The sequence below is a fragment of the Homo sapiens genome, chromosome 11 (genome assembly GCF_000001405.40).
Source record: "Homo sapiens chromosome 11, GRCh38.p14 Primary Assembly".
NCBI classification, from domain to species: Eukaryota; Metazoa; Chordata; class Mammalia; order Primates; family Hominidae; genus Homo; species Homo sapiens.
In genome coordinates, this window is record NC_000011.10 from 72,659,710 (window position 1) to 72,686,579 (window position 26,870).

At 54.7% G+C, this 26,870-nt stretch overlaps 2 protein-coding genes and 1 long non-coding RNA gene across 8 annotated transcripts in view, besides 12 other annotated features; 1 reads left to right on the forward strand and 2 right to left on the reverse strand.

Annotated features, from left to right (window-relative positions):
- PDE2A (phosphodiesterase 2A) overlaps positions 1–14,713 on the reverse strand; it is a 98,282-nt gene extending 83,569 nt beyond the window's left edge. Inside the window, exons 1-2 of one of the 2 annotated variants that reach the window (NM_001146209.3) lie at positions 9,301–9,355; positions 8,589–8,717 (exon numbers count right to left, since the gene is read on the reverse strand). In NM_001146209.3, coding sequence (NP_001139681.1) covers positions 8,589–8,632 — 44 coding nt within the window. In that variant the 5' untranslated portion in view covers positions 8,633–8,717; positions 9,301–9,355. Of the gene's footprint in view, positions 1–8,588; positions 8,718–9,300; positions 9,356–14,427 lie in introns of those variants that run through there. The other variant, NM_002599.5, reaches the window with a different exon arrangement.
- Positions 1,054–10,207, forward strand: PDE2A-AS1 (PDE2A antisense RNA 1). Its single transcript, XR_001748293.2, has 3 exons — positions 1,054–1,136; positions 5,815–5,946; positions 10,121–10,207. It is a non-coding gene; the product is annotated as a PDE2A antisense RNA 1 (long non-coding RNA).
- Positions 2,284–2,948: an enhancer, noted in NCBI's record as "H3K4me1 hESC enhancer chr11:72373037-72373701 (GRCh37/hg19 assembly coordinates)". NCBI's record gives its function as "activates a minimal SCP1, AML or CMV promoter by ChIP-STARR-seq in naive H9 embryonic stem cells {active_cell/tissue: H9 hESC(naive)}" and the evidence as "EXISTENCE:reporter gene assay evidence [ECO:0000049][PMID:30033119]".
- Positions 4,278–4,940: an enhancer, noted in NCBI's record as "H3K4me1 hESC enhancer chr11:72375031-72375693 (GRCh37/hg19 assembly coordinates)". NCBI's record gives its function as "activates a minimal SCP1, AML or CMV promoter by ChIP-STARR-seq in primed H9 embryonic stem cells {active_cell/tissue: H9 hESC(primed)}" and the evidence as "EXISTENCE:reporter gene assay evidence [ECO:0000049][PMID:30033119]".
- Positions 8,353–8,857: an enhancer, noted in NCBI's record as "H3K4me1 hESC enhancer chr11:72379106-72379610 (GRCh37/hg19 assembly coordinates)". NCBI's record gives its function as "activates a minimal SCP1, AML or CMV promoter by ChIP-STARR-seq in primed H9 embryonic stem cells {active_cell/tissue: H9 hESC(primed)}" and the evidence as "EXISTENCE:reporter gene assay evidence [ECO:0000049][PMID:30033119]".
- Positions 8,912–8,971: an enhancer, noted in NCBI's record as "active region_5193". NCBI's record gives its function as "activates an Ori minimal core promoter by ATAC-STARR-seq in GM12878 lymphoblastoid cells {active_cell/tissue: GM12878}" and the evidence as "EXISTENCE:reporter gene assay evidence [ECO:0000049][PMID:35858748]".
- Positions 13,282–13,908: an enhancer, noted in NCBI's record as "H3K4me1 hESC enhancer chr11:72384035-72384661 (GRCh37/hg19 assembly coordinates)". NCBI's record gives its function as "activates a minimal SCP1, AML or CMV promoter by ChIP-STARR-seq in primed H9 embryonic stem cells {active_cell/tissue: H9 hESC(primed)}" and the evidence as "EXISTENCE:reporter gene assay evidence [ECO:0000049][PMID:30033119]".
- Positions 13,909–14,534: an enhancer, noted in NCBI's record as "H3K4me1 hESC enhancer chr11:72384662-72385287 (GRCh37/hg19 assembly coordinates)". NCBI's record gives its function as "activates a minimal SCP1, AML or CMV promoter by ChIP-STARR-seq in primed H9 embryonic stem cells {active_cell/tissue: H9 hESC(primed)}" and the evidence as "EXISTENCE:reporter gene assay evidence [ECO:0000049][PMID:30033119]".
- Positions 14,535–15,161: an enhancer, noted in NCBI's record as "H3K4me1 hESC enhancer chr11:72385288-72385914 (GRCh37/hg19 assembly coordinates)". NCBI's record gives its function as "activates a minimal SCP1, AML or CMV promoter by ChIP-STARR-seq in naive and primed H9 embryonic stem cells {active_cell/tissue: H9 hESC(naive and primed)}" and the evidence as "EXISTENCE:reporter gene assay evidence [ECO:0000049][PMID:30033119]".
- Positions 15,162–15,786: an enhancer, noted in NCBI's record as "H3K4me1 hESC enhancer chr11:72385915-72386539 (GRCh37/hg19 assembly coordinates)". NCBI's record gives its function as "activates a minimal SCP1, AML or CMV promoter by ChIP-STARR-seq in naive H9 embryonic stem cells {active_cell/tissue: H9 hESC(naive)}" and the evidence as "EXISTENCE:reporter gene assay evidence [ECO:0000049][PMID:30033119]".
- Positions 15,937–16,437: an enhancer, noted in NCBI's record as "H3K4me1 hESC enhancer chr11:72386690-72387190 (GRCh37/hg19 assembly coordinates)". NCBI's record gives its function as "activates a minimal SCP1, AML or CMV promoter by ChIP-STARR-seq in primed H9 embryonic stem cells {active_cell/tissue: H9 hESC(primed)}" and the evidence as "EXISTENCE:reporter gene assay evidence [ECO:0000049][PMID:30033119]".
- Positions 17,298–17,347: a silencer, noted in NCBI's record as "silent region_3723". NCBI's record gives its function as "represses an Ori minimal core promoter by ATAC-STARR-seq in GM12878 lymphoblastoid cells {active_cell/tissue: GM12878}" and the evidence as "EXISTENCE:reporter gene assay evidence [ECO:0000049][PMID:35858748]".
- Positions 20,731–21,556: an enhancer, noted in NCBI's record as "H3K4me1 hESC enhancer chr11:72391485-72392310 (GRCh37/hg19 assembly coordinates)". NCBI's record gives its function as "activates a minimal SCP1, AML or CMV promoter by ChIP-STARR-seq in naive H9 embryonic stem cells {active_cell/tissue: H9 hESC(naive)}" and the evidence as "EXISTENCE:reporter gene assay evidence [ECO:0000049][PMID:30033119]".
- Positions 25,025–25,584: an enhancer, noted in NCBI's record as "H3K4me1 hESC enhancer chr11:72395779-72396338 (GRCh37/hg19 assembly coordinates)". NCBI's record gives its function as "activates a minimal SCP1, AML or CMV promoter by ChIP-STARR-seq in naive H9 embryonic stem cells {active_cell/tissue: H9 hESC(naive)}" and the evidence as "EXISTENCE:reporter gene assay evidence [ECO:0000049][PMID:30033119]".
- The window catches only part of ARAP1 (ArfGAP with RhoGAP domain, ankyrin repeat and PH domain 1), a 67,340-nt gene continuing 65,829 nt past the window's right edge, over positions 25,360–26,870 (reverse strand). For all 5 annotated transcript variants that reach the window (NR_161388.1, NM_001040118.3, NM_001135190.2 and 2 more), the window contains 2 exons: positions 26,333–26,482; positions 25,360–25,972 (listed from right to left, as the gene is read on the reverse strand). Coding sequence is in view for 4 of the 5 variants with exons in the window: in NM_001040118.3 (NP_001035207.1) it covers positions 25,955–25,972; positions 26,333–26,482 (168 nt within the window). In the remaining variant the exon portion in view is untranslated. The remainder of the gene's footprint in view (positions 25,973–26,332; positions 26,483–26,870) is intronic.

The window sequence follows — 26,870 nt, forward strand, 5'->3', positions numbered from 1 at the left end:
AGCCCCTGCTACAGTCTGGACAATATATAGCCATTTCCACCAGGACCACAGGGCACACCTGGTCAAAGGAGGGGCGGGTTTGTGGAAACACCAAGTCCCTACCCTGTCACCCACTCTATGGGTTTCTGAAGCCACCACTTCCAGCCGATCCAACCCTCACATCCAAGGCTTGCCCTCAGGAGACCAAGGCCTAAGCATCCCTTCCCCTGCCTGGCTGCACTGCCTCTGCCAGGAACCAAGGCCCAGAGAGGGTCAGCAGTTCCCTGGCAACTTCCAGCATGTTGGAGGCACCCCCACTCCATGTGCCCAGGTTTGCAGCCCAAGGAAAACCCAGTACTTCTCACACTCCTATAAGAAGTCCCCCTCAAAGGGACTGACTACAAAGGGCACAAGGGAAGTTTGCCAGGATAAAAATATTCTTTTCTTAATTGTCATGGTGGTTATGACCATATATATTTATCAAAACTCATTATACACTTTAAATTGGTGATTTTACTGTATGTAAATTATGCCTCCATAAAACAGATGTAAAAAATTAAAAATAAATTCAGAAAAAGTAGTCATACCCCCACCTTCTAAGCCCCCACAGCAGTAACAGCTGTGCAGAACTGGCAGCCATGCAGAAACTAAGGAGGGGCGGGTCACAGAGCCCACTACAGAGGCACATATTAGGTGCTCACACAGGAGGTGTTTGTTTCACTAAGTGCCAGTTAGCAAGGACTCACTAGGCACCTTCTGAGTGCATTTGCACATCCTTGATCTCATTAGCTTTCTCCCTGCTCTCACGCAACCTGGAGAGGGAGCCAGGTACATTACACACTGTGTCTCATTTAATCCTCATGGCTGCCCTAATGAGGTGGGCTCTATTATCCTCTCCTTTCTACAGATGAGGGAACAAAGGTGGCAGAACTTGCACAATCCTGCAGCTAAGAAGTAGAGGAGCAGAGATCTGAACCAAGAGACAGTCCTCAAGGCTTGTGCTCCCAAGCACGTCCCTCCACTACCTCCCTTCACGATACTCAGTGGCACGGGTTAGGACGCCAGGCATGGATGATGTGCCCACTGACCTCAGGCCTTGAATAACAAGGATTTCACTGCACGTAGAAGTAGGGGTAGGGCACAGCCAAGCAGAGAAGGTGAGTGAGTATGTGTGAGCTCCGAGAGGTGGCAAGGGGCAAGGCCAGCTCTGGGAAGGAGGGAACTGGGTCAGGGAGCAAGCCTAGAAGAAACATAAGAGAAATCAGGCAGGGTCTGAGAAAATGAGGCAGAGGGCATCTGGCTGTGTCCTCTCTGTGGGTTTCAATGTCTTCTGAGGTCAGGTGCAGTGGCTCACACCTGTAATCTCAGCACTTTGGGAGGCCGAGGCAGGAGGATCACCTGAGCTCAGAAGTTGAAGACCAGCCTGGCCAACATGGTGAAACCCCGTCTCTGCTAAAAATAGAAAAATTAGCCAGGCATGGTGGTGCGCACCTGTAATCCCAGCTACTCGGGAGGCTGAGGAAGGAGAATCGCCTGAACCTGGGAGGTGGAGGTTGCAGTGGGCCAGGATAGCGCCACTGCCCTCCAGCCTGGGTGACAGAGCAAGACTCTGTCTCAATAAATAAATAAATACAGAAATAAATATCTTCTGAGGCCCTGAGTAGCTGGGGCTCCTCACAGCTATTCCTAACTCATTTCCCCCCAAATTTGCCTCTGTCCAGTTTTTTGGGGGGGTTTTTTGGCCCTAATCACCCACTCACACCCACAGTCACCACCTCAACGAGCACAGGCAAAATCCTTCATCCCAAAACTTGACAGAAACTCATTGGAAAACAGTCAGTGATGCCATGTGGCAGGAAGCACTCCAAGGCTGGGGAGTATGGAAAGGCCCCTATCAAGGAGGCAGAAGTCTTCCTAGAAGATCTGAAGAATGACAGGAATTAGCCAGGTAAAAAGAGGAGGGCCTTGGGGAAGGGAATTCCGGGCAACAGCATGTGCGGCAGCCCAGAGGCGAGAGACGCTGCACAGGTGGGGAACCACAGGCGGCTCCCTCTGACTATCTTGGCATCTGTGTATACTTCAAGTGCAAGTGCTTCCCTGCGATGCGCCACACATGTGCTGAATCGTACCTGTGTTGCATATCTAGATGTGTATACCTGTGTCATGTGCATTGATGTTCCCATTTGTTCTGTTTTCGTTTCTGGGTCACTTTTTGGAATGATCCTGTGTCTGCTTTTCAGCATCTGTTGGTGTCTGTGTTGTGTGTGTACTGTGGGTCTCTGTCTGTGCTATGGTCTGCTTCCTGGTATGGGGAGTTCTTCTGTGTTATTGGGTTTTTCCTCTTTGTATATTTATGTTGGTGTTCAAGTCCCTATGCCTAGATTGTGTCCGGGTTTCGGTGTGTTGTATGTTTGTGGCCAGGTCCCTTATCTCAGGCAGCTGGGGTCTGGAGGAGAAGCTGGGGCAGGGAGGTGCCGGAGCTGGGATCCAGTTGCACACAGTAACACCTAATGATTGTCAAGCACTTAGAGTGGGGCAGAAAGCTGCAGGGGAGATGCTAATTAGCACTGAAAATGAGTTGGCTGCCCAGGCCCAGAGAGGCTGACACAACAGGGATGAGTTGGCTGGGCCAAGGTCCCTCAACTCCCAGCACCATAAGGGGGCTGCCCTCACTGACTCGCCTCCCAGGGAGGCCCAAGGCCCAGGCTCTGGACAGCAAGAAGGACTGAGATCCGACTCCAGGAGGAAGGTCTTCAAAGGGAGTTCTTTTATCAGATTTGGCAGTGGAGGGGTCAGAGTGTTATCAAGAGATATGCAACGGTGACACAGTTTTGCTTTAGGGGCCATTGTCTGAGGGGGTGGCTTATGGGTGCCATGGATGAGTGCTCCAGAGAGTGAAAGCCACAGGCAGCATGAGGCAGGGAGGGATGTCCCTAGAGGAGGGTCTAGAGCTGCCACACACCTGCATTGGTGGGCAGACACTGAGGAACTAGGGCCTTAGCTCAGGCAGGTGAGCCGGGAAGTAGCGGCTGTCACCCCTCCTCTGGCCCATTTATGCAACTCACATGTCCTTGGCCAACCGCAATACTGCCTCTCACCTGGGTCTAGCCCCCCTACTTCACCCATCATTTGGAGCTTCCTAACCCCAAAGCTAACCATGGCCTGACCCTGCTTAAACTTTCCTCTGCTTCCCTTTGTGAGCTGGGCCTTCACTCCCTTCCTCTCCACCGCCAGGCCCTTCCTCCAGCCCAGGAGCCATGAACCTGCCACCCTTGATTTCTTGCTGCTCACACCTTTGCTCTTACGGGGATTTTTGCCTGGAATACCCTTCCTTTTCTCCTCCACCTGGAAAACTCTCAGTTGTTCTTTAAGGCTAAGACCCAGCATCGCCTCCTCAGGAAGGGTCCTCATCAGCGGTCCCAGCACTCACCCGACAAAATTGATTGCCTGCGTCTGGGTGTGCCTGTCTCTAATGAAGCGGAGAGCAAGGGCTTTTGGGTCCATCTCCATGGCCAGGGTGACAAGCACAGGCAGGGCACACCAGGGCACCCTCAAGGCCAGTTGGGATGAATGAACAGGTGGCTTGGGGGGCTCCAGGGCACACTGCGTTCTGAGAATGACATTCTTCAGCAGCCCCTGTGCTGCCCAGATACAGAGCGCGGTGATCACGGCAGGAAGCAGCTCTCAGCCAGAGAGTAGATAATGCGCATATGAGTCCACTCAGGAGACCTCAGTGAATGTGACAAAGTGAGTGTTCAGGCCAGGTGCAGTGGTTCACGCCTGTAATCCCAGCACTTTGGGAGGTCAAGGCGGGCAGATCACCTGAGGGCAGGAGTTCGAGACCAGCCTGGCCAATATGGTGAAACCCCGTCTCTACCAAAAGTACAAAAATTAGCCAGGCATGCTGGCAGGTGCCTGTGATCCCAGCTACTTGGGAGGCTGAGGCAGGACAATCACTTGAACCCAGGAGGTGGAGGTTGCAGTGAGACAAGATCGCACCACTGCACTCCAGCCTGGGCGACAGAGCAAGACTGTCTCAAAAAAAAAAAAAAAAGAAAGAAAAAAAAGAAAACCAAACAAACAAAAAAGTGAGTGTTCAGAGGCAGAGCCTGGCTTCTGACTCCAATTCTGATATCAACAGGCTGTGTGACCTTGGGCAAGTCCATGCCCTCTCTGTTCTTCGGTTTCCCATCATCTCTTTGTCCCTCCACATCCAATCTCTAACTTTTGCTGCTGGGTTGTGTGCCCCAGAGGCCGACTTCTAAGTGGCAGCTTCATCCAGGGCTCCCTTGCCCCCTGGCATCCAGAGAAATTCTGCCAGTGAGGGTCAGGGTACTGGCAGGAGAGCAAAGGGTGAGAAGCATGCAGGCTCATGGTGGGTATTCACCCCCTCACCCACCTGCCTCCTTTGACAAGCAGTGGCTGCAGCCACAGCTCCTGCAGGGCAGCCCCATCTCCAGGGCTCTGGCTCATGGAGCTGGGGCACTCTCCTCGGCCCCCCTCTGCCAACGCCCCTGGCCCCTTGGATGCCAGTCCTGAGTAACTTGACATGTCCTGCTGGTTCCCTTAAGCCTTCCCCATCTCCATAATACTTGCTTCACTAACTGTCTTCAGTTAAACCATTTAAGTTTGTCATCTGTTTCCCCTCTACAAAATAGGGCTAGCCCCTTGAAGGATTTTTTTTTTTTTTTTTTTTTTTTTTTGAGACGGAGTCTTGCTCTGTCCCTCAGGCTGGAGTGCAGTGGCACAATCTCGGCTCACTGCAAGCTCCGCCTCCTGAGTTCATGCCATTATCCTGCCTCAGCCTCCCGAGTAGCTGGGACTACAGGCGCCCCCCACCACGCCCGGTTAATTTTTTGTATTTTTAGTAGAGACGGGGTTTCACCGTGTTAGCCAGGATGGTCTCGATCTCCTGACCTCGTGATCCGCCCACCTCAGCCTCCCAAAGTACTGGGATTACAGGTGTGAGCCACCGTGCCCGGCCTCCCTGGAAGGATTATTTAAGGAGGCGATTTGTTTAATCGCCTCCTTAAATAATCATTTTTAAAACTTAAAGGTCACTCTGTAAACATTAGTTCTCTCCATCTGGACCCCAGATCCCCCCTCACTGAGAGGTTTTGTTTGTTTCTTTGTTTGAGGCAGAGTTTTGCTCTTGTTGCCTAGGCTGGAATGCAATGGCACAATCTAGGCTCACTGCAACCTCCGCCTCCTGGGTTCAAGCAATTCTCCTGCCTCAGCCCCCCGAGTAGCTGGGATTACAGGCATCCACCACCACGCCCAGCTAATTCTGTATTTTTAGTAAAGACAGAGTTTCTCCAGGTTGGCCAGGCTGGTCTTGAACTCCCAACCTCAGGTGATCCACCCACCTCAGCCTCCCAAAGTGCTTGGGTTACAGGCGCGAGCCACTATGCCTGGCCCACTGAGAGTTTTAAGACAACTCCGAATTACCTGACCTGGGAAGGAGGTGGTACCCAATTGCTGCTTCTCTCCTTTTCTACCCCAATTCCTGCCCAGACCCCAACCCCAGGAAGCCTCTCCTCTGCCCCAACCAGAGCCCATGTTTGAGCCCCACAACCATGGGCCTCCCACCCTAGAGCCCTGCATGATTCAGGATATGCCTCCCTGCTCCTTCCTGCGGGTGCTGAACAGCAGAGCCGCCTCGGACTTGCCCAGTCCTCCCCATCCCACCCCCACTCCACCCCAGAGTGTCCTCCCATCCAGCCCCTGCCTCCAGCCCCAAACCTCCAGGAAGACAAATTTCCCTTCAGTTCTCCAGGGAATGGGATCTCTCTGCTTCCAGGTGCACAGTCTAACCTTGCACCTTCCACTGCCCAGGACACCAGGAGCACTCTGTGGACTCAATCCTCCCCAGGCCCAAGAGAGCTGAGGCACGTTCTTCTCTGGCCCCCCATGGCAGCTACAGCTTGAAGGGACTCAAGATAATCTGCAACCAACTTCCTCACTAGGGTAGGTACCTTGTATACAGCCTTGCTAACCAGGCTGTCCAGCCCCTGCTCATGCCTCCCCACTATGGGCAGGAAGCTCATCCCTGTCTCCCACGCAGCCCTTTCCCTAAGGGACTGCCCTGCCACCCTCACTTTGAGCCCAGATAGGCCTCCAGGACTGCCCCAAACCCCAGCACTGTCTCAGTACTAAGAGCTCAAAGAGAGATAACAGAGAAAGCCTTGAATGTTAGAACGGTGAAAACCTAAAAAACAACAACAAAAAAAAAACACGAAAAAAAAAGCAACTACTGCAAAGAAGAAATTGAGGCTTCCAGAGGAAGCCCCTCCTCTGGCCTCACTTCACCACTGGGCTCCTCTCCATCGAGTCTCCATGCTCCATGGAACAGTCGACTTCACACGTCCCCAGGAGGAATCTCACAGCATGCAGAAGCTCTGGTAAAAACTTCAAAGGCAGCCTCTGAGGCCCAGGAGGCATGGAAATAGCCAGGTGCAGGAGGTGGCTTCACACCACAGACTTGGCTCTCCTCTGAGCTCCCCACCTGCTCTAGGGGCTGGAGGGAGGGCAGCCTTCCAGGTCAGACACTCCCCTCTCTGCTGCAAGCCCTATCATCTCATCCTGGGTCCTGCTGGGTGACCTTGGGTTAATCACTGCACCTCTCTGAACTTCAGTAGTTGCATCAGTACAAGAGGACCGTGCTGGGAGTCCCTGAAACTCTTTAAGTGTGACCATTAAGAGTTCCTGGGGAGAATGGAACCTAGACACTTCCCAGCCATGTCTAGCTGCCCAATCCGATAGACTAGGACCCTGGCTGGCCCAACCTGAGACTGAACACAAAGCCTGACTCTGGCCCAGAGTCCCCTGAAGGAAGCCCAGCCCTTCAAGGGTCTCTACCTACAGGAAAGCGCGACCCAGGAGAAAAAGTATTGAATAGCCAGACATTAGGCGCGGCCTTAAAGGTTAGCACAGCAGGTGTCTGGGCCTTCACACACACATATCCCCTCATCCCTGTGCTCACATTGAGACACAGGCATCTGTATACACAGGGAACACACATACGGTTTCACTAGAACATATGTATATGGCACTCTACATACATGTACACACACACAAGCCACAGTCACATGCATATAACTGTTTACCAAAATCAGACATAAAGATGGACAGTCACAGCCGGGTGCAGTGGCTCATGCCTGTAATCCCAGTACTTTGGGAGGCCAAGGTGGGTGGATCATTTGAGGTCAGGAGTTCAAGACCAGCCTGGCCAACATGGTGAAACCCCATCTCTACTAAAAATACAAAAATTATGCAGGTGTGGTGGTGCATGCCTGTAGTCCCAGCTACTCAGGAGGCTGAGGCAGGAGAATAGCTTGAGCCTGGGATGCGGAGGTTGCGGTGAGCCGAGATCACGCCACTGCACTCCAGTCTGGGTGAGAGTGTGAGACCCTGTCTCAAAACTAAACTAAAAAAAAGGACACTCACATGCTCACACATGTGAGTATGTTCACACTTTTATACGAACACTGACCCACACATTCTCACCCTCTCAGATCAGCATACACATATGCACAACTGGAAGCTCACATTCAGGTACACATACACACACTGAGACACAAGCAATATCCCCAGCACCTCAGTATCAAGCAAGTCATGACCCAAAAGAAACCCAGACCCCAACTGCAATGTCATTCTAGATGCATTTCCAAATCTTAGCCTGTCCCAGAACCATGAGGAGAAAATTTCCTCTGGCTTAACTCAGTATGTCTGTCCCTTCTGGTTGGGGTCCAACCTCTCCTCAGCCTTCATTCCTCCCAGTGCCATTTCAGCAGGGCCCTCATGTCCTGGGCTCAATGGAGGTGGAGAACAATGGGCTATCCTTCTCTCCATCCTTCATCTCTGCCACTTGTCCAACACTTCTACTGGCCCTTCAAACACAACGAAGATTCAGGCTGGAATGGACTGTATGTGACAGCACCCCCTTCTGGAGACATGTGATATTACAGCACAGCTCTATGGTATAAAAGTCATCACTCCTCAGCCTGAGGCAGAGAGGAGTAGGAGAGAAAGAGGAAGATGAGCTGGGTGCAGTGGCTCACACCTGTAATCCCAGCACTTTGGGAGGCCCAGGCAGGAGGATAGCTTCAGCCCAGGAATTTGAGGCTGCAGTGAGCTATTATGGCACCACTGTACTCCAGCCAGCAAGACACTGTCTCTATTAAAAAAAAAAAAAAAGGGTGAGGGAAGAAGATGAAGGAGAGGAGAAGGAAGAAACTGAGAAGAAGCATGGAGGAGGGACAGCAGCAAAGTGCTGGGTGCACCAAGGATGGGATTTAGAAGCCTCAGTCTGACTTTGGTTTCTCCAGTTCAATCCATTCAGCCTAAGCTGCAAGACCAATTCTCTCAAAGCTCAGCTCTAATCAGAAAACCCTTGGGTGGATCCTGGTGGGCCACAACACAAAGTCCAAACTCTCAGCCTGGAATCAGCAGCTCTCTGCTCAGCTGTTCCTCTGCCGAGATGTCTCACATCCAACTTTAGTTGTCCACATCTTGCCTGTCTGCCATCTGGAACAGTAATGTATGGAAAGAGCAGGAGCTCTGGAAGCAGACAGATTTGTGCCCCAGGTCTGGCTCCACTGGCTGAATACCTGTGGGCAAGCGATTTCCCCTCCTGGATCCTCTGTTTCTTCATCCAGAAAACAGCAGTCTCTTGGGTTTGTGGTGAGGATTAAATGAGATCACAGGTGTGGAAACAGTGCTCAGGAAGCTGTAAACTTCTGTGTGAACATGTGAGAAGTCGTAATTATGGCTTAATACTTCTATCCCTGCTCCTACCTGCACCCCCCAACACATAGCAAGCCAGGGGGTCCCTGAGGGAAGAGGTCGATGCTGCTTCACCTTTGGGCTCCACACAGCCCAGCACCCACCAGGGCCGGCCCTCGGCCAGCCTTGGCAGCAGGGTGTGGATTTGGATCAAAAGAGGCAGTACAAACTATGCTTACTGCAAATTCACAACAGACTACAGCTCCCAGAATGGCTCACAGACTGCATGGGTGTGGCCACAGACTTAACCCCTTCTTCACCAAGCCCTTTCTTCCATTGTATTATCTGGGGATTGGTCTCAGACCAGTCAGAACAACTTAATGAGGTGGCCACACTTCTCTGAGAAACCTCGGTCCCTCCCACAGAGCTTTGTGCTTCTCACCGTAGCCACAACCACAGCTCTGTTTCAGGCCTCCTGGTCCCTCCCACACGATGACAGCCCTGAGCTCCTAGCTCTGGTCTCTCCCTCTCCAGGCCCCGCTAAATCTTTCTGAAAGTGTGGCTGATCGTGGGTGGTTCATAATGACAGTAGCTAACCTTTGTGAGCACCTGCCGCATGCCAGGGGCTAAGCTCTGCACTTCCAGATTCTTCAGAATCATCCTGCCAAGAAAGGATAATTATCTCCACCCCACTATTCACACAAGGTTCAGAGAAGTTAAGTAACTTGCCCAGGACCACACAGCTACAGAGTAACAGTACATCTTTCAGTATGCTGAAATTTGAGCATAAGCCTGTCTGCCACCTTCTCTGCTCTATCTTCAAAGCCTCCTCTGCGCCCAAGGCAACCATCCAAAGAATGAAAGCCCAGAAATCCAGGGTCCACACATCTCAGCAACCACACTGTTGGGAAGTCCTCCCAGATATTTGACTCAAATCTGTTCTGCTGCACCAAGCCCCAGTTGCCTCCTGTTTTTCGGGGTGGGGGGGCAGTGAGAAGGGTGACTTCAGGGACTTCAAGAAGTGGGTCACATCACTGGGGACCTGGCCTTTCCCAGGGAGCAAGCAGCTGAACAATAGGAGATAAATGTGTGAAAACATTTCTGTTACTAAATATATCGACTTCCCAGGAGGACGAGGGTGCTGACAGGGAGCCCACGGCCACCACCCTGGAGGCCACAATCCTGTGTCTCAGAAAAGCTGGGGCGCTCCAAGGAGCAGACAAGGCTGTTCCGGCTGTCCTGGAGGCTGGGGCAGAGGGGGTAGGAGGCCGGCATAATAAGGGGTGATGGCTCATTTCTTCCAACCAAAGCTGCCAAGCCCTAGCCAGCTGATTTGCATATTGCTTTGTATTTGTTTGCACGCCACTTTCTGGAAGGGGCCCACATTCTTCAGCCACTGCTTCTCTCTCATTTCCAGGGTCTCTTTTGTTCACTGAACACCCCTTTCTCAAGCAAGGCTGGGTCCCTCAGCAAGCTCTGGTCACGAGCACCAGGAGAGACCAAGAAGTTGCAAACTTACAATAATGCCTACACATCAAGCCTGTTGGAGACACCTTCACGGAAGAAAGTGCTTCCTACAGTCTAGGCTCAATTCCCCACTCCTCTCCTGCTCCACCACGGCCCAGGGCTTCCCCCCAGCCTGGCACTTCATGCCTAGGCCACTCTGAACTCCTATAGTGCTAAGTGAACAAAATCCTGCTTGCCCTTACCTTGAGGCCTTTGCAAATGCTCTTCCATCTTCCTAGTGCTGTCCCTCAACTCAGCCTGAAGTGGCTCTTCCTTATAAGGCCAGCCCCAATGGCCCCTCCTCCTAAATACCTTCCTGCGACATTAACACAGGTAGGAAAGACTCGGAGCTTCCATCCACGTGGTCACTGGCTCTGTCCATCTGCCCCCAGGGGTGTCATGTTTGGTAGGGCCAGTGAACGGCTGCTGAATGAATGAATGATGAGTCCTGATCTCCCTCCTCTGTTCCCTCTCCCTGGATGACTTCACTCACTCACCTATGGGAGAGTCAGAGGCTGACAGTGCCTCTGCCTCCAATTCCCCCTCTTGTCCTCTGAGACCCTCCCTTTCACACGTACAGCCCACTCTCATAAAACCAAGAGACTCACAGCCCTTCTGCATTGGTAGGAAGTTCTTCCTGCTGTCTGTCCTCACTCCCTTATTTGACCATGCCTGCTTCTTTATCATTATTTTTGGAGAGGAGTCAGGGCCTGCACCCATCTCAGATTTTTGTTAATAAAGGCTGCGCATTTCTCCCACTCTCTGCCTAGATGTGTTCTTGCCACTCCTGGATCATTGTGCCCCAGCCTGGCCCTACTTCAGGGGACAGTGACACAGGACGGAGAAAGGACATAAGGCCAGGCTGGGTAGCCTGGAGTTGCTGGGCCCTGCGGAGAAGACCCAGGACAGATATAACCACCACAAGGGAAGGGCTGCCCAGGAGGGAAGAGATGAACATCCTATGTCCGGGGGTATACAAACAGCAGGCTGGATAGATCTGCAGGGCAAGTTGTAGAGAGTACTAAAACAACTGCTAGAAAATGACCCAAACGCCCTTACTGTCTTCTCCCACCCAGAGGCTGCACTGAGTCAGGTGCCTAGCCCTGTGCCTTTCCTACCCACCTTCACAAACTGTTCCCTCTGCTCTTCCCTGCCTGGGTGATTCCTACCCATCCTTCAAGGTCCGGCTCAAATGTCTCTTCCTCTGAAGCCCAGGCTTGCTGTGGGCCCCCCACCTCCTACACAGCACTGCTCACCCTGTAGGGTTGCAGCTTTCCATTTCTTTCTCCTTCATCAGACTGGGCACTCCCTGAGAACAGGGACTCAGTCAGTGTCTGCTCTGTGTCCCCGGTGACAAGCCAAGTGGGCACCAAGCAGCTACTGAGAAGTTCCTGTTGAGTGGTTGAATGAATGAATGCAGCAATGGAATCATGCTGAGTCGGGAGATTTCATAGGCCCAAGCAGCAGAAGCCCGGGGAGCGCAGGCCTGGCCTGACAGCAGCATGGCTGAGGGTGAGACTCCCAGTCCATTAAGACCAAGGGGTAAAGGACTGCTGGGAGCTCTTCCCCCCACCCCCGCCCCCACCCCCCACCATTTGGCTAGATCCCAGCCAAGCCATCAGCAGTCCCTGGGGACAGGAGGCTGGAGTGGGAAGCAGGAAGAGTGGCAGGAGCTGCTTGGTGGGCAGGGGGAATGACTGCGGGGGGTGGGGGTGCAGGGAGCATAAAGACAATTAACCCTCACTGAGCTGACCAAGCTCAGCAACCAAGAGGTTCCGGGCAGGGCCTGAAGGAGAATGATATTGAGGGTCAGGTCTGATGAAGAGGTTGAGCCCCAGCCTTGCAGCCAAAGGGTAGTGATGAAGCCATAGTCTCAGTTTCCCTGTCTGGCAAGAGATGGCTCCATGATCTCTGACCCTCTGCATCCTAGCTAGAAACACTACAAAGATCTCTCCCACTACCTCAGCCCACCCACGCCCAGCTTTCCTGAGCCTTCCATGAGCCTTTTCCCTCATGAGATCCTGACTTACTGAGATGTCTGCACTACACCCCTGACCCCAGTCCAAGCCTGAGCCACCTAGACATTCCCTTCCCTGTTCTCATCTATCCAGCCTTTCCCAAGTTCTCAAAAAGCTCCAGAACTCACTGACCCCTGTATTGGCTTGGCCTCCACTCTAGCCTCCTGGCCCCACCTCTCTCTTCCAGTTCAACCCAGACAATGCCACCGAGGCAGGTTTCTTTATTTTTCTTCTTCTTTTTTTTTTTCTTCTTTTGAGACAGAGTCTCACTTTGTCACCCCCAGGCTAAAGTGCAGTAAGGCAATCTCAGCTCACTGCAACCTCCACCTCCCAAGTTCAAGCGATTCTCATATTCTCATGCCTCAGCCTTCTAAGTAGCTGGGACTACAGGCGTGTGCCACCACACCCAGCTAATTTTATTGTATTTCTAATAGACACTGGGTTTCACCATGTTGGCCAGTCTCGTCTCAAACTCCTGGCCTCAAGTGATCCACCTGCTTCTGCCTCCCAAAGTGATGGGATTACAGGCATGAGCCACCATGCCTGGCCCAGGGCAGGTTTCTAGAACCCAAATCTGATCATGTCTCTCCCCTATATAAAACCTTTCTGGGCTCCCCAGGGCTCTCTGGATAAAGCCTAAGAGTCCTGGATCTTAAAGTTCTATTGAATGTGGGTCCTGCCTGCCCCCCACTCTATACAGTGTCTTCACTGCTCCAGGACATGCCCAGCCCAGGGCCTTTGCTTATGCAGTTCCCACCCCACCCCCACCTGTTAGCATGACGTTGATCTCTACTGCTTAATTATTCTCAAGCTATTTTATGTCTAAGAAGCTTAGGAAGCCCCAGAGGGCAGAGTCATTATTGCCTATTTCTTTTCTGCATCTTTCCCACAGGGTGTAGAATGAATTGTCCTGAGTTCAAAGAGGCGGTCATACATTCAGCCCCTCCCTGCCCTGCATCAGTGGGCCATGGTGTCCCAGCTGTATCCTCAATTGCCAGGGGAAGGAAACAGCCACCCACACACACTCAGATGAATACACACATATAGATACACACACACACCAGCCACAGAAGCACCGATATACACACTAGCACCATGATCACACACCCACACCAGAATACTTATACGCACACAGCCACATCCACCTCCACACACAGCAATGCTATTATTCACACACTAACAAATACACACACATAAATGCACATGGAACAGATAAAAAATGCACACTGATTCACTCTATTTTGCAGACACAACACACATAATATACAAACTCAACCTAATAGACACACCTACATACATATGCAGACCAACCTGCACTCACACTCAGACACATGCGAATAAACTCTCACTCACACAGGGATGATCACAAACTCTGACAGGCTGCTTTACATCCAACCACCAAGGACCCTAGAGCTCTACAGGCCCCTCTACACCCAACATGTCCCTTACATTCCACATGTATACACACACACACACACACACATACCCTGCCTACCACCTCGGCAGCCCTTAGTAGAGGGGTGTCGCCACGGCGCCCCCCACTCACTTGCACATGCACCCCCCTGCACGTGGACACACACGAGGCTGGCACCATATTCCATCTGGCTCCGTAGAACCCTATCCTGGGACAGACGCTTTGGGGTAAAGTTTCATAAAGTGGTGTCCCTGAACCCCAATTCCCAATTCCATGGAAGGTGGTTACCTCTAACCCTCTCTTGCTCCAGGGCCACTCTTATTCATATTTTCTCCATCTTTCCCCCTCCCCACCTCCTTCACACACACATAGCCTTGGTGGGCCAAGACACTCTCCCTCTCCGGGTCCTGAACCAGCCTATTGCAGCCCCGAGAGCTCCTCCCAACTACTTGGCAGACCTCCCCCTCCCCACATACACCCTCAGCCCTTGAAGAACCGGTTCAGGTTCATTATCAGCCCCTCCTCCAACCAGCAGCCCCTTCCATGGGACCCCAGCCTCATCACCTACTAGGTTGACGTTAGACACCCTCATTCTGCTCAGAGGTAACCTGCCCCCACCCCAGGCTGCAGTCTGGCAACGCGGGGAGGAGGGGTGCCCAGGAACAGGATCGATCCTTCCACGTGGCTCAGCTCCATGCCAACCCCAGCTCCTTGGAGGGACTCCCAGGACCCTGTCTGTGGCACCTCTCACAGCCGCTCACCACCCCAGCCCCTCACTATACTCACGGCTCAGCCGGTCGCGCTGCCGGGTACTGCTGGCTCCTGCAGAGGATGGAGTGGCCGCATGCCTGCCCCATCACTCCTCATCGTCCGCCTCCCCAGCCAGACTAAGGTGGCACCTCGCCCTGTCCCCGCTGCCTGGAGTTCAGGGCAGGGCACCCCCAGCAGGCACAGGGACCAAGAGCAGTGGGCTGCCCCCTACTCAGCCTGGACTCAACACCCCAATCCAGCTCTGCTGCCCCGCTGCTCCCGCCTCTCCCGCTGCCACTGCCTCTGCTGCTCGGCTGGCTCTGGGAGGAGGTTGGAGCAGGTCTGATAATGCAGAAGGGGGAGGGAGGAGGGAGGAGGAACAGAGAGAGGCCCAGACAGAGAGGGAGAGAGGGAGAGAGGGAGGGGTAGAGAGAGAGTCTGACTGGGAGAGAGGAAAAAAGACTCACAGACAGAGAGACTGAGAGATAAACAGAGACAGGAAGGGGGACAGTAACACATGAAGAGGGAGAGGAGAGAGGGATCAGAGCCTTAGCGAGATCAAGATGGAAGTACAAAGAGACCAGAGAGGCATAGAGAAACACACACACAGAGGAACAAAGGCAGAAAAGGAAAAAAAATCAGAGGCAGAAATAGAAAGAGAGTGGGGTAGGGGGAAAGGGGAGTGGCTGACAGAGGAGAGAGGGGAGAGGACGAGGGATTTACAATCCTCATGGGCTAGGATGGGGCTGGGGACTTGAGGGGCAGCAGACCCAGACCCTCTGCTGCCCCATCGCAGAAGCCTTCAGGATGAGGGGACACGCTTGTGCCCTCAAGTCTGAGAGATCAGGCCTCCATGCACAGCTAGCTGCCCTCTCCTCTGGGCTCCCTCACCCGGTGTGTATCATCTCCTAGCGTGCATCCCAGCCTGGAGCTGGGTCCACGGAAGACTTAGGGGGCTTTACTGATGGCCTTTGGACTCAGAGCCTTGTCACAGGGCCCACCTCTTGGTGGCTTGGTTTAGCTGGGACTTGGAGCTGATGCGTGAGCATGGACTTCTACCAGGATCTGTGGAGACCTAGGCCACAGCCTGCCCCACATGGCCTTCGCTGCTCACAGACTACAGGCATGGGGGAAGGCCTGTTGCACCCCCACCCTGCTTCCAAAGAGGACTCCCTAGGATAAAGCTATAACCTAGTGAAATAGAGGCATTTTAGGCCCTAGGACAGATAGAGAGTTGTCACAGCAGAGCTACTATTGTATGCAGGAGAAACAGCTCCACACCTTGAGGCAGGAAATGGGGATTTGGATCCTGGCTTCACCATTAACTTACTTATTCATTGGCCTACCAGTGGCTGAGCTCATGGCTCACACTATCCCTTGTCTCAGAGAAGCACTCGGGCTGGGGAGTGGGGAGGGGAGACTTGCAGGCTGTGACAGAAAGAAGCACAGGGTCTGTGAAGCCCAGAGGGACCCCTGACCTAGTTTGGGTGGTGGGGGGGCGGTTAGCAAGCATTTCTGGAAGAGAGGGTCCAAGCTGGGTCTTTTAAGGCAGAAGAGGGTATATTCCAGGGTAGAGGAGCTACAGCAAACCCTCCACAGCAACCCCATCTCTCTGAGCTGTGGGGAGAATACCTCCCCGCCACACAACAGGCTTCAAGCAGAGAAGTCCCTGAGGCTGAATAGAAACCTGACCCATGTTGAAGAACATGGGGGTGCACGGTGGAGGGGGCAAGGTCAGAAATGACTGAGCTTGTGTAGATGGCCTGCCCAGGCTGGGTGCTGCAGAAAGCAGTTGTCTTGTGGCCTGGGAAGTGTCAGGAAAGAAAATATGAGGAGTCTTTGCTTCCCACTGTGGCCCCAGAAGGCATCATAGAATTTTAGATCTCTGAACTCTGGGCAAACCATTTTCTCAAAGGGAACGAGGCCCAGGCTGGTTGTAAAGCAGCTGAGCCAGCCCAGAACTCATGTCTTGCTTCTCCACCTCACCTATCACTGGGGCCTCGCTGCTCCATTCCTGACAGCTAGGAAGGCATTCTCTGGGCTCAGGAAGCTGCAGCCCTGGACCATGGCGTCCTGCTCCCTCACAGCTCCCCTTCATGTCCTGGGAACCTGCTCACTGGTCGGAGGAACCTGGCAGCAAGAAGCTGAGTCAGAAGAGTTCAAAGGAGGGTTCCTCCTGGGCATGCATGGGTGCAGGTGTGACGAGGTCTCACCTGGCCCTCAGCCTCCTTTCTGCCCTCCCACTTCAGAAACAATGGTGGTGGCCTCATCTTCAGAAATCTCCTGGGAATACACTCAAGCAAGCAGGTGGAAGGGAAGGTCTCCTCCCCATCCCACTGCCACACCAGACTCCACAGCCACCCAGAAGTGGAGAGTCTGCAGGAACAAACTGCAAGATTCAGGACTCAGAAGGGCTAATGGGCACTCAGGACTTAGAGCCCGGCAGGTGGAATTCAAATCCCAGCTCTGCCAAGTGCCTAGGCAAGGTATTTCACCTTCCTGAACTTCAATTTAGTTTCCTCATCTGAAATATGGGGTCACGAATTCCAAGCTCAAAAGGTTGTGAGGTTTTGGGAATGTCTGAAAAGTTCCCAGTAAATAGTTGCCCCTCTCCTCCCATCTCATTTCCTGAAGTCGTCAGGAGAGTAATAGCCCCAAATGCTGGGATAGGGGCTCCTGTAGGCCAGTGCCGGGATGGGGGAGGTGCATAAAGGGGAGAGAGCTGGAGAAAATCCAAGATTGTTTTTCCCTCCTCCATCAATTGCCTGCCTGCAAGACCGCTCCCAGACGGAGCCAAAGGCCCGACTGCTCTGACTGCGCGCCCCTACCCCCGCCGCAGGCCCCGCCCCGGCCACAGGCCTCTCTCCAGGGTGCTGAACCCTGCGAGCCGTGTTCACAAGACCTGCCCGCCCCGCCGCCCTGCCGGGAGTCAAGAAACACCGTTTTTTGTTAGCTGGGGAACTGGAGGTGGGATGGCAGGAAGGATGCTCCTGGGAGGTAGGGTGGCTGCCCAAAGCGATGGGAAGATTCAGTTCTGGAATCCGGCCTCCGCGCTGCCCCCATAGCCTTGAGAGGACTGCAGGCTCCACAGGCTTCAGCTACCTCTTTGCCGAAGAAGGCGGCTTCTTCTCAGCGCCCGCCCCCGCCCCGTCCTGCGCGGCTGTTTCCCTCCCACCTTCCAGACGGCCCCTCCTCTGTCTCCCTCACTGGTGCACCCTATCTTCGCCCCCTCAATATGGATGCTCCTTGCAGGACGGCGGCCCTGTCTCTCCTCATTCTCCACCCTACTCCCACGGAGCATGCAGCCTTCTCCCAGCATACCAACAACTCCGGGTGTCCCCTGCTGCCCATCCCTCTCCCTGGAGCTCCAGGTGTCCAGGCTGTCTCTTGGACATCTCCTCTGGGAACAACCCGTAGGTCCCTCAAATATTGAACATCCAATACACCTTTTGTTACTATTAAAGGCATCAGCAAACTTCTTAGTTTTTTGTTTTTTGGGTTTTTGTTTTGTTTTTGAGACGGAGTCTCGCTCTGTCACCCAGGCATGGGGAAGGGGTGGAGTGGGGAGTGCAGTGGTGCGATCTGGGCTCACTGCAACCTCTGCCTCCCGGGTTCAAGCAATTCTCCTGCCTCAGCCTCCTAAGTAGCTGGGACTACAGGCACCCGCACCACGCCCGGCTAATTTTTGTATTTTTAGTAGAGACGGGGTTTCACCATATTGGCCAGGCTGGTCTTCAACTCCTGACCTCGTGATCTGCCTGCCTTGGCCTCCCAAAGGCATCAGCAAACTTCCAATCTCTGAGCTGGACACTTCAAAGTCGCCTTGCCCCATCCCTCTCCTACACTTCCTGTATCGTTTGTTCCAAAGGACAGTAGATTCTCTTAGATCCATCCACTCCCTCCATCCCCACCCCCTGCTTCCTTCCCCCTCCCCTGGTCATGCTCCAACCCTTACCCCAGGTCAACCTCTCTACTCCACCTCCTCCTTGCACCTAGAGGCGGCTTCCAAAGACATCTATCTGGTAATGGAATTCCCTCTCAAAACCTTTGCAGGGCTCCCCAGTGCCCTCAGGATAAAGGCCAAGCTCCTCAGCCTGGCATTTGAGGTCCCTTGTGATCCAGCCCTGACTGACCTCACCATCCTCTGCTCCAGGTGGGGCCAGGTCTGGTCCCTAAGCACACTCTGGTTCTCTCCTCCTCGACTTTGTACAGTGTTTCTCCTCCCAGGCCGACTTCCCCCTCCTCTTCCTTTTCTCTGCCTATCCCAAATCCTAGCCCACCATTGCTGGGCCAGTCAGCACACACCCTGCCTCCCACCCACAAGGACAGGTAGGCAGGAAGGGGCATTGGATTCTGGGCTAGAGACCCTTGGTGGCCTCTCCCTTCCCTAATGTCTCACCCCCCGACCCCCTCTCAGGCTCATCTCATTTCTTCTACAGGATCCTGTTAGCTCAAAAGACAAGCCAAAGTCCTATGTACCTCGGCCCCAGTCCACAGCCTTTGGGTAGCCCGCAACAGGCCCAAGCAGGAAATGTTGATGGAGAAAAGTCAGAAAGGAGGCCGACGGAAATCGGGTGGTGCACAACAGAGCTCAGCTCAGGGGCACACGTGTCTTGCAGACAAGATAATGCAGGTGTGTGGGGATGCAGGCAGTGACGCTTACTGCTCTGTGAGCACCCCCCCAACCCCAGGGCAGGCTGAGACTACCCAGTGTGAGACAGCCCTCAGCTCTCCGGAGAAAGGCTGGTAACTGGTGGAACATGGATTTCACAAAGGGTTGGCCTGAACACCCCTGGGTGACTCCCTCTGGCTGGGGGACAGGATAAGCCCACATCTGGGTCTTTGCAATGGGAGCCCAGGCATGGGGAAGGGGTGGAGTGGGGAGCTCAAGGAGCCATTCCACAGCTTCTCCCCACTCCTCCTCTGCCAGGAAGCTCCCCTCTGTGGCTCTGATGACAATGGCTGAAGGAGCACCATGTCCTTGGGTAGGGCCTGGCATGGGTCTCTGCATTCTCACACTAAGCATGTCCCCCACCACACAAGTGACAAAAGCTTTTGCTGATAAAGGAATGAAAGGCCACCACAGCCCCTATAGTAGTTCCAAGGTGGAGCAGCTTCTTCAACACCTCAGGAAGGTGGCTTTGGGATTCAGGATGGGGCATGAAGGATCCACTTCAGGTTCCAGGATATCTGTCAGAGCTCTCCGGGGAGGAAGGGGTGACCCCAGGTGAGGGCAGTGACCTACCCATGGCTGCTAGGCAGGGGGCTGGGGGGCTGGAACAGATGGCGAGTTCAGGGAAGGGAGAAGCCGCCCAGCCCCAGCTGAGTCCAGGGCCCTCTCCTGCCTCTTTTGTCTTGTGGGTGGGGGTGGCTGCATTGGTCTAGGAGGGATGGCAGAGAAAAGAGGGAGGGAAGTCAGCCTGGAACGCGGCTGGGCCAGACACTCGGAAGTGCCTTCAGCCTCAGGTTGAGATCATCTCCAGGGTTATAAATCAGAGAGAATGAGACGCTAGAGCCAGTTAATCTAATCCTTCACTGTGCAGATGGGAAAACTGAGGTCAGAGGGGTGCCCAGGTAACCCAGTGAGTGAAGGGCGAGGCTGAGCCTAGGACCAAAGACGGTGGCCATTGCCCCACCGGACTACTTCCCCCTCTTCATACTCTTCCACCTCTCCTTCCTCCTCCAACTGAGACAGCAGCCCACAAGAGAAGGCTGTACATATAGCTTGTGACTCTGGGGAGGGCCCCCAGGAATGTGGAATTCCAGCAGGGATGGGTCAGGGCAGAAGTGGCCCCTGTGGCTTCATATTCTGGCGAAGGCTCTGCTCTTCTTGGGGCCTCAGCACCAGCCCCCTCACCACCACCACCCTCCAATCCAGCACACTAGGGATCTTCCTTGCCAGGAGGCCCCGAACCTCCCACTCAGCCCTGAACCACCTCTTCCCCCATAACTCCCCGCACCTGAGGGGGGATGCAGGGGGTGTGACTCAGTGGGATAAAGGCAGCTGCTATATTTGAATTATTACATAAGCCAGGAGGGAGGCAGCTGCAACGTGACTCCATGAAGGTCAGGAGACAAGTTGAGGCTGGGCACAGGAGGCAGGGGTCTCCTCCCCTCTGTCCCTAGACTCCAGCTTGACCTAGGGATTGGAAGTCGGTCTGCATTGCTGCACTGCAAGAAAGGTCTTCCCTAGGTCTAACCACACTAGGAAAGCTCTATTCTCTATCTTCTTAGAAAAATATCCCCTGGTTTCTAGAAACCCTAAGGCCAGACCCAGGCTATGCCCCAGATCCTCCCCCTACACTCTTACCGGTAATAAAGATGGGATTAAAAGCTTTGCCATTCTTTTAAAAGAGCGCCTGATGGAGACAGCAATACACACGAGCCTTGACTCACCTGCCCCATCTGAGAGGGACCTGTGTTCCTGTCCCAGCTACTCCACTTACCAGTCATCTTCCTCCTGGGTCTTGGAATAAAATGGGATGACACATGCAAAGCCTTGGCACAGCAGGTGGTGGGCGCCCCATGATGGTTTCTCGGCACTATCACTTGCATCTTCACTCCCACTGCCAACTCTAAGGGCTGGCTGAAGATCGTGGTGGGAACTGAGGTTGGACTGACCCCTCTGCCCCCAGTCCCCTTTCTGGGTGGAAGGTGGGAGACCGGAGGAGAAAACAGGTCTGAGAGTCAGGAGCTTGGCCAGACTTGCTGTGTGACCCTGGGCAAGCCCCTGCCCTCTCTGGCGCCCAGCTCTGGAGCTGGTGTTTGAGAGAGGATTTCCCAAATGGGATCAGTGACTTGTGGCACTGGAAGCTGCAGTGGCAAGCAAAGTTGGCTGGGGGGATGGGGGTGGGCTGTCCTGGGAATGGTGAGCTGGAGGCAGCCATGGTGGGCACCAGCACAAGGCCCACCTCCTCGGCACCTCCTCTTATGGACCCCACACCCCAGGAGGAGGAAGCTGTGCCCACCCGAACTGTGTTGCCATGACACTGGTCTCCATGGTGCCAGGCACACAGCCCTCCCCTAACCCAATAGGAGGGACTGAAGGTGACAGGAGCTGAGGAGATTCGGGACCTGGGGTCCCTTTCACTTGTCCCTATGCCTCCATCAGCCCTATGAGGTCAGGTCCCCATCCTGAGCCTCTCAGGAGAGCTGGGAGGAGCAGTTTCCACTTCAGAGTCAAGAGTAACAAAGAGAGGCCTCAGAGTGACTTGTGTGGAGGGCAGATACACAGGAACGCAGGGAGGTGGCAGGGCGACAGGGAGGCAGAGAGAGCTGGGGAGGCAGACGGGCAGGGGGAGGAGGGCATGCTAGTCACAAAGGGAGGAGGGCGTCCCAGGCTGACAAGTGGTGAGAGGCACCGTCCAGCCCATCTCTTTGGTCTCAGCATTTGGAAGTGGGTGGTGGTGGGAGGACAGGGTGGAGGAGGAGCAGGAGGGAAGGGGAGCAATTTTCCTAGAGAGCTGTGTGTGGGTGGGTGTTCATCCACGTGCCGTGTGTGTGTGCTCATCCACGTGCCGAGTGTGTGTGTGTGCGCGCAGCATGCACTCGCAGATCTGGAGAAGCAGGCTGAGGTGTGCAGGCACGTGTGTGCAGGCCTGAGTGTGTGTGGCATGTGTGCGCCTGTGCCACTGTGTCTCCAGGGTGATAAATACAGCAGTAGGAGCTGTAACCAGGGCAGAGAAAGTATGGAAATTTCCACAGGCTGGAAGTGGTGTAGGAGAAGGGACATGCTAGGGCTGGGCCAACCCTGGCTGACCAGGGAAACTGTCCCCGACTGCTCTTCCCTAGGTGAGTCCCTGACTAGGTGTGGTGACCTGGGCACATACGCATACCCTAAGTAGGCACAGTGGGATGGGAGAGCAACCCAGAAGAGCTTCCTGAAGGAGGTGTCGTAGTGGAGGAAGGGCTGGGAGGTTCAGGCCACTGCACTTATGTGAGAGACAGTCCCCAGAGCAGGGTCAGGGTCACTTAGGTCACAGAGCTGGCTAAGAGAATAGGAACTGTTCCTTATTCTGATGGGGGATGATCCCAAGGAGCCCACTGGACTGGGATGTGGTCATATCTCAGAGGCAGGCGCAAGGGGGATAGGCCCTAGGGTGCTGTAGGGCACTGTGTCCCAGCCACAGCAGGTAGTGACCACAGCAGGGTCACATCCCCTTGTCTTGTGCTCAGACCACTTCCTCTCCTCCACCTGTGGAGAACTGCCTCTCCTTTCAGACTCACCTCCTCCAGTCTTTCCTGATAATATCCCCTACCAGGAGGTCTCTACCTTCCTCCACACCACTCACTCATCTGCTCCCCCTCAGTGTTCAGTAACGCTCTGCATACAGTTGGTGTTCAATAAGTGCTTGTTGAGTGCAAATATATTGGGACTAGAATATGCCATGATACCTTCTCAGAAACTGCAGACAGTGCAGTGGGAAGGGGATTAGCAAGGGGCAATGCTAGGCACTTCACACTTACTAGCTCATTTAATTGCCCAAACCACTAGGAGGTAGCTACTATTAATACCCGCAAAGTACAGATGACAACATTGAGGATCAGAGACCTAAGTAACTCAGGCAAAGTCACACAGCTTGTAAACAGGAGCACTGGCACCCACACGCGTGCTTTCCAAGACAGCGGGCTGTGGGCAGGTGGCTTGGAGGCCACCAGAGCATGAGGCCAGGAAAGAAGCCCCAGCTCTTGCCCTTCCCTGTCCCACTGATTTCCTTCTCCAGAAGCCCCAGGACTCCTCAGAACTCTGCAGGGTAGGAAGGTTGTGCTGGAAGGAGGCAGGAGAGAGGCAGACATCCTACCCCACCTCCCTGCCCCTCTCCCCTCTGCCCCCCAGCCTCCCCTTCACCTGCAGTGCCCTCACCATCCAGGCTCTGACGTGCCTCGGCCTTCTTTCCCAGGGCTCCCCGTATTCCCCAGGGGCTAGGCCTGGATTTGGGTTGGTCCTTGAAGCCCTGTCCTCCTCCCCCAATATTTCAGTATTTCAACCTCTACCCCAACCACACCTGGCAAGGCCTCCGGTCTTCAAAGCTGGCTCAGGAGCACTTCCTTGTCCAGGAAGCCCCTCCCTTTCCAAGAGCTGCTCCTGGCCCCTCTGCAGGTCCAGGTCTGGGGTCTTCAACTCATCCATGGCAACCCAACTTCAAATAATATGTGAATGAGCAAACCATCCAGGGTCCCAACAGGCCCCATTTTTAGGAATCCTTGCGACAAGGACCAGCAGAGCCTCCTGCCCCTAACCCATCCAACACTGTTGTCACAGGCATATTTCATTCCGGCTGAGGCCCTGAGGCTCCTGTTTGGATGTCACCCCTACCCCTTACCAGAGGGAAATCACTTTAAGCCATCACTAACTCCTGACAGTTCAGACCCCCTGCCTCAGGCCATTTCTAAGAGGAGAAAAGGGTTGGAATCAGGAGGGGAGTCAAAGAGGGAGACCCCACCAAAGTAGGGCAGGGGAAATGGACCTCAGGCCTGCTTCACGAGCATGGTGTGACCTTGGGAAAGTTGCCTCCCTTCTCTGGGCCTAGCTCCCCCTTGCCAAGAGCAGACAGTGCAGGGGGCACAGGGGCCGATTCACAGCAGGTACTTGGTAGAAGGCTGTTCCCTCCTCTTCCTGGTTCCCAGAGCCCAGGACTCCAATGCACATTCCTGTATGGTGCTGCCTTCCAGAATGTCACCAGCCTGCAGGCCAAAGGCAGAACTGGGTCCCGCTTCACACCCCAGCAGAGAAAGGTCTGGGCCAGGACCACCACTCAGGCATCCTCCAGACCCTGCTTTGATTCCAGCAATGATGAGTGGTCCATGGCTGCCGCCTTGTGGCCTAGTGCAGGACTGCAGCCAGCACGCTGAGCTGGGGCAGTGGCCTTAGCAGAGCAGGGGGCGCCTCCAGTCTCACCCACTCAGGTGGGCCTCAGGGCTGGCTGGGCAGTGCAAGGTCAGATCCAGGAGCGGATTCCAGCCCCTCAGCACTTGGATAAGGGGGTCCAACCTGTCCTGGCTGGAGGCAGAAGGGTCAGACATTCGACCTGTGGATCTGGCCAGAGCGACCCACAGGAGGTGGGAGACTCAAGGGGCTTAGCCCCAGCCTGTGAAATAGGTCAGTAGGACTCAGGGAACCGGTTCCAGTCTCCTGCCATATACCTCCCCTTCCTGAGACAGCGAGAGGGAACCTGGAGTCCAGCTCCCCAAGTCTTCCGCTGGACCCAGGCTCCCCACTGAGCTGGATGCCTGAGTCGGAGGTCACATGGCCCATCCCCACCCACTCTGCCCAGCCCCACTGGCTGAGGCTAAGGATGGAGGTCAGCCTGTCCGCCCACTGAGCCCCCGAAGAGCGGGTGGTAATGAGGCTCTAGGCAGAGGCGGGAATGTGGTGTCTGGCACCTCCCCAGGGAGTCCCAAACCCATCTCTGAGCAACTCATTATTTCCTCTGCAGGCCAGGGCCTCATCTTCTTAGTGGAGATGGCCAGGCAGTGCCCAGTGAGGGCAGCCCCCTGGTGCATGGCAGGCCCCACCTCTGGAGGGGTAGGCACTGGGGCCACAGGTGACCCAAAGGTGCTTCTTCTCAATTTCCTCAGGCTCCTGTGGCTCTGACCTTGTGTCTCCAGCAGGGGGCTGCTGCAGGGCTGCCAGGCCTGAGTCACTGACACACCACACCCAGGCCCCAGCTGGGACTCAGACTCGGACTGCAGCAGGACAGGGGCTTGTGTCCAGCCAGGGTCAGTGCTGGCCAGGAAAGGACCGGCATTCCCAGCCTGGCTGCAGGATAGTACAATGGGGAAGGCATGGAGTCAAGCCAGGGCTCTGCTTGGGGAAGGGGGTCGTCTGAATAGCTCAGGGCCTGGAGAAAGCAAGGCCTAGGTTCTCAGCTTCAGGCACTAGGCACTCACCCCTGGGCTTCCCGACCTCCTGTCCCCTCCTACCCCAGGACGCCCAATCCCCTTAGCCAATCACAGGCCTCAGCACCATAGGGTAAAATATACAGATATATTTATATTATCAAAAAGTCCCCAAATTGGGGAAGGGGCATCAGGTAGTCTGGACCCCCCACTCAGCCCAGACTGGAAGGAAGGCTGAAGTCCCCAAAGCGCAGCTCTCAGCCCTGTAGAAGCTCAGCCAAGAGCTCCCTCCCCGTGAGCTGAGTGCTCCTCTACAGCACCCGCTTTCTGCTGTTCTGGAGTTTGTTGGGAGGAGCAGGGGGCTCCCTTCCGGCAGGGCCCCAGGGCCTCACGCCTCTGAAAGGGTGGTGGTCCTCCCAAGTTCCTGACTTATGCCCATCTCTCCAGCCCCACAAGGACAGTGAACCCGGTGGGGTGAGCAGGTTGGGCCAAGAGGTCTGAACACCTGGACAGAGTTGGGAGAGGTTCCTGCCCAGGCTGACCCCTGCTGCCTCCCACCCCTGCCGGGGAACCCCATGCTGCAGTCAGGATGGAGGATGTGGGTTGTGGGGTGCAGTTTCCCATGCACCCCCCGCTGGCTCACATCAGGCCTTGGAGCATAAGGGGTGTCTGAACAGAAGGCTTCCAGCGGCGGAATCCTAGAGCCAAGGATGGGCTCCTGTGCTCAGACGTTGCGCAGAAGCTGCAGGAAGGCAAGAGACCCACAGGTATTTTGTGAAGGCCCAGAGGGGCTGGCGCCCCGCTGAAGCTGCTGCAGCTGCTGCAGCCACTCTCCACTGCCAGCCGGGGAGCACTCCAATCAGCCAGGCTCCCAGCTCCCAGGGCCAGGCAGAGGGGACTCCCAGCTTCCAGGGCCAGGCAGAAGGGGCTCCTTTGAATGGTGTGAACCAAAGAGGCCTATGAGGGCCCCCACCAAGGCTGGAGGGAGGGGGCCGGAGGGCAATCGGGGAGGGCAATCAGGGCAATCATCTACTGTGGAGTAGAAGGCAGGCACCCAGCCAGGCCCCCAGCCCCCTGCCCAAAGGCATGGAGAGCCACTCACAGACAGAGGGTCCGCGGTGAAGGCAGCCACACTCCGGCGCATTTCATTTTCACTACCTCGAAGGGGGATCAGTGACACACTACCCAGCCGGACCTCAGGCACTGCCCGGGACACGCGTGAGGGCTCTGAGGGCCACACCAGGCCGTCATGCTGGGGAGCAGAGAGGAAGGGGCTGGGCTCAGCTTCAGTTCACCCAGACACTCAGCCTCAGATCTGCCCACCCTTCCCAGAAATGCCTCCAGCTGTGGTCTGAGATGACACCCTCAGCTTTGATCCCCGCCGATATGAGAAGCAGCTGTGGGGAGAACATGACTGCATCTCTGGCAAAACACGGCCAGTTCTGTTACTCAACAACTCCAATCTCCAGATCCACAAACCCCTCCAAGAACCAAGAAAACATTTCTCTTAGAGGAACACGTCTGCACCCCATCTTAGGAATCGGGAACTACAAAATCCACCGTTTCCCTTTAGGCTTTGCTTACCAGGAAGCTCAGGGCTAAAAGAACACAGCTCCAAGAAAGAACTCAGCCTAGCACCC